General features: G+C 34.1%; 1 annotated feature.

Moving 5' to 3' along the window:
* Positions 2,633-2,927: a silencer, noted in NCBI's record as "tiled region #1325; K562 Repressive non-DNase unmatched - State 24:Quies". NCBI's record gives its function as "represses a minimal TATA promoter and a strong SV40 promoter by Sharpr-MPRA in K562 cells {active_cell/tissue: K562}" and the evidence as "EXISTENCE:reporter gene assay evidence [ECO:0000049][PMID:27701403]".

Genomic DNA, 4,880 nt, shown 5'->3' on the forward strand with positions numbered 1-4,880 from the left:
TGTAGGTATACTCAGGAACCATGACAAAGTATGTCTCTTACGATATATAAATTGAACTCTATATACTAATACATAATACTGGATTTTACTACTGTGTTTAGCAGTGTTGCAAAAATCTTGAACAAGTTAATCTATGAGATTGGATTCGAATTTATCTTTTTAATATTTTTTTCAAGATGTAGGTATTAAAATTAAATGAGCTGATTAACCTCATAAAGTGAATTGGCTTGTATTTTCCCTAATTTGATTTCTTGAATTTGCATAAAATTGGAATATATTCTCTTTGGAAAAATTTGGTTGCAGTAATTCATTAGTTATTTCTTTAGGAATGATATTCAACCTGCCAATAGAAAGTCTACATAAGTATTTTCCCTTTTTTCTTTCTGTCAATGTATTACATTCTAATATAGATCAATTATAAATAATGTTTGTTGACAAATTTTATCCTGCTCTTTGTTTAGCAATATTATTCTGAAAGGATAATATATATTCACAAGTATGAAAGAAGTATGAATTTATAATATAGCAAATATTTTACAAGTTTATTATATTTGATAGACTGTCTGCCCCAACCAATGTTTGCATTTATCATCTATCTAATTTACAGAATTATTTGATAAGAGCTTTCTTTCAGTTGGTTCAGATAAAAAAGCTTAATAATCGGGTTATATGAAACTGCATTCACTAGAAAATATGAGAATATTTTAGCTTTGAGGTTTCATTATTCCACAAAGACCAGTGATGTTATCATAAGTTAGCTGTATGAAAGAACTGTTCCTAAGTTTTCAGAACTTCATTGATATATGCTCTAGCTATACAACTCTTGATCATCTTGTGGATTTCTGCACTAGCTTAACTTGGAATATCTAAAAATAAAATTTAAAAAGAAAAACAGAATTTATGAACTCATTCATTTTATTGTTCTGGGGCTTGACAAAACCATTTCACAATATTTCAATGGAATGAATAATGACCTATAATATTCAAGCCACTTTATGTAGATATTCATAATAGTAACTGCAACCAGATATGGACAACATTAACAGAAATAAGAAAAATAATGAGGTTAGATATTAACGCAAGCTCTTTCCAAATTATAAAATCTTTTATAGTTACAACCAGTATAAGACTTACGGTAAACATTCCTGAGTCTCCCCTGATGTTTGCTGTATAAAATAAAAGCCTTAGAAAATCTATGTGTTTTTCATCTGTTTGCAGAAACACACACACAACAGTACACAGAGACAGGAGGATATTATGGGCAGTCTGAGAATTATCCCAAGTTCAAGAATTATCCCAATAATAAATAGATCCACTAGCTTATACATATGGGCACAACAAAACACACAGTAATTATATGCTACATTTTCATAGCATTCACAGGACTTTTTAAAGATTGTACTCATTAAAAGCAACCCTCCAGTTGTGTATTCAGGTGAGTTGTTAAGGCTGTGTACTAATCTCTCTTTATAACAACTTTCCCAAAAGGGTAATTTGTTTTACATCTCGGCATTGTTCTGAATACAGTGCAGAAGAAATAGCATTATGGGGAGTACCAGCTCAGCACAAGTAGGGGAAAAAGCAGAAAGAGGGGATGGCCCTCAAGTCAGGAGCAGTAAACTGACCACAAAGTCAACATTTAGTCAAGTGTCCCATGGGAGCTTTCTCAATCACGGAAAATAGTGATCTCAGCCTGATCTCGACCTATCTCAAAACACCCTCCTCGCGGCTATCACAGAGCATTAAAATACCAGACACTGCAAATTTGCTTCTCCAGAGTGTCAGAGACACAGGTGACAGATTTTGAGGGCTGCTTAAGCTATTGTAAGGCATTTACTCTCACAAAATATTTGATATGAATGATAAAGTTTCATTACTCTAGCTGTACTAATATCCTAGAACTGCCATTCTCCCACAGTTTAGGAGGACAGAAGTGTGAAATCAAGGTGTCAGGAAACTGGTTCCTTCTGGAGGCTCTCAGGGAGAAACCATCCCGATGGTATCCCTACCCAATTTCTCCTAGCGTCTGGTGGTTGCTTGAAATCCTTGGTGTTCCTTGCCTCTTCCAGCTTTTGGTGTTCCCGGGCATTCCTTGGTTTGTGGTAGCATGATTCCAGTCTCTGCTACCATTTTCACATGGCCTTCCTCTACGTGAGTTTCTCTGTGTACTCTCCTCTTACTAGAACACCGGTGTATTAGTCTGTTCTCACAGTGCTATGAAGAAATACCCAAGACTGGGTAACTTATAAAGAAAAAAGGTTTAATTGACTCATAGTTTCACATGGTTGGAGAAGCCCCAGGAAACTTACTGTCACAGCAGAAGGCACCACTTCACAGGGCAGCAGGAGAGAGAATGAATGCCAAGCAAAGGGGGAAGGAAGGGCCTTGTAAAACCATCAGATCTCGTGAGAACTCATTCACTATCATGAGAATAGCTGGGGAAACTGCCCCCATGATTCAATTACCTCCACCTGGTCCCACCCTTAACACGTGGGGATTATTATTATACAATTAAAGGTGAGAGTTGGGTAGGGGCACAGCCAAACCACATCAACTAGTAATTGGATTTAGAACCACCCTAATCTAGTATCACCTCACCCTAGCTAATTACGTCGGCAAAGACTTATTTCCAAATAGTCACATTCTGGCATGCATTTTGGGACAGAAACAGTTGGATGAGTGGCCCTATTCAACCTACTACACTAGCCAAAGGTGAGTAAGCACAATTTCCTTCCCAGTGTCCGCTCTGGTATGCAGGGATCCTCTACCTGAACCCCTGGAGTGCTGTCTGTATGATCTGCTTTCAGAAAACTCAGGGATCTCTGGAGGTGTTTCTAGTTGAGAGCCAAGCACCAATCCAATCCCCAGAAACTACAGCACATACAGGTCAGACTCTTGCCATGTTCTGCTTTTTAGAGCCCTGAGGCTCCAATATTTCTCGACTTCATCCAATATTCAGACAAGGAAAAGGAAAGGGTCTCTCTTCTTGAAAAGCACCAACACTCTGTAAATGGTAAGGAAAGGAGAGAAAATGCACAGCATTCAGACAACTCCATGCAAAGAATTTCTCACTCTTGAGGTTTCTCTACTTGTTTCCCCCTCATAGGACTTTAAATTATGCTTAGAAGCAAAGTGCAGTTTTTTCAGTTCCCTCTTAATACATTTTGCACAAATGAGACCTTGGCAACTTTTCCTAGAATGTATAATAAATTGACAACCTTTGTTTCAGACCCAGGCCTCAGCCAAGTTTGAGACAACTAAAAAAGGTTCATTTAGCATCTAGGTACAGAATAATTAGTCATAATAATAAATTCTTGCTCATTTTTTATCATACCCAACTTGAGAAGCTTTAAGTTTATGAGAGTGATGTATTCCCAACCCAAGTATAAAACAACAACAACATAAATGTGTCCTAAAATGAGAGTAGACTGCATTGTAAGGAATAAGAATGTTATAATTTAAATTGATACAAATTCAATTTGTTATAAACATGTTAAGATGTTACATGTTATCCACGGTGATTTGACAAAGGTAGGAAGATCATTGTAGGCCATTTAAAAGCACAGGAATCAAAGAATTGCATGCTTCCCCAAAGACTAAGTAAAAATGGATAATTGACTAATATAGTTGTAAATAATTTTAAACGTTTTCCAATTATAAAATGCATTCAAGTTATAAAAGTTCTAAAATATATAGAAACAGAAAGTGATTGTATCAGAGAAAATCATTTTAATATATGTAGTTCCATATTCACAAACATATTTTTATAAAGTATAATGTTTTATAAAGTTACTTTTTACATGGGGTTAGTTACACTATTCATGGACTTGAAAATCTATTTTTTAATATATGTGTTTAGTTTCAATATTTTCCTGTGTTGTTAGATCTTTTTTCGTATTAATTTTTATTTATTATAGGAATTTTTTAAAAATACACAAAAAGAGAGAGATTGGTACATTAAACTCACGCGTGTCTGGTATCTAGCCTATACAATTAGTTACAACATTTGTATAGGCTTGTTTCATTTGTTGTCTTCCCAATATTTGTTGGTTATTAGTGTGGTTTTTTCTGAGTACTATAAACTAAATATTAAATATATATTATTTCATCTATAAATGCTTCAGTATGCATTTGTAATAGCAAGGACTTTTTAAAAATATTACTCCAATAACATAAGCACACAAAACCAAATTAACAATAATCTCCTAATGTTATTTGTTACTTCAACAGTGATCTCAAACATGTACTTTTATGATAGGATTGTTCAAATGAAGATCTGGAAAGGTTGACCAAGAATTTGATTGATGTTTCTTAAGTCACTTTTAGTCTTTTAGAAGTTTATACTTCTATACTTTTTTATACCATTTATTTGTAAAAAACATAAATTGGTCTTTGGGGCATAGAATTTTTCACAATCTAGATTTAGCTGATTGGATCCTTATGGTGTCATTTAGCAAGCACCTCTCCTTGCTGTATTTCCTGTAAACTAATATTTTTATCCAAATGTTTGATTAGTCAATATTTTTTATAGGCAAAACTATATCTCAGGTAATGTGTTCTTCCCACTGAATCATATGAAATGAAAACAATGTTTGACTTATCTATAGTTGCATTGCTTGCATTTGTTGCCCAGTATTTATAAGGTTGTAGCAAGTTTTCCATTCCTTTTTAAATATAATCCTTTATCATTGATATTTGGAATCTAGATCATACTTCATGGAATTCGATAATTTATAGTATAAACATTTTCTAAAAATAATTTCCTCATTAAACTATGAACAGATGACCAAACTTAAGATAGAGTCTGTAGGGCTTTCTTTCGTTTAGAAATTTATCTACTCCTAGTCACACTCAATTTAAGATACAGAAAAGTCTAGGAT

Source organism: Homo sapiens, chromosome 6 (assembly GCF_000001405.40).
Source record: "Homo sapiens chromosome 6, GRCh38.p14 Primary Assembly".
Lineage (NCBI taxonomy): Eukaryota > Metazoa > Chordata > Mammalia > Primates > Hominidae > Homo > Homo sapiens.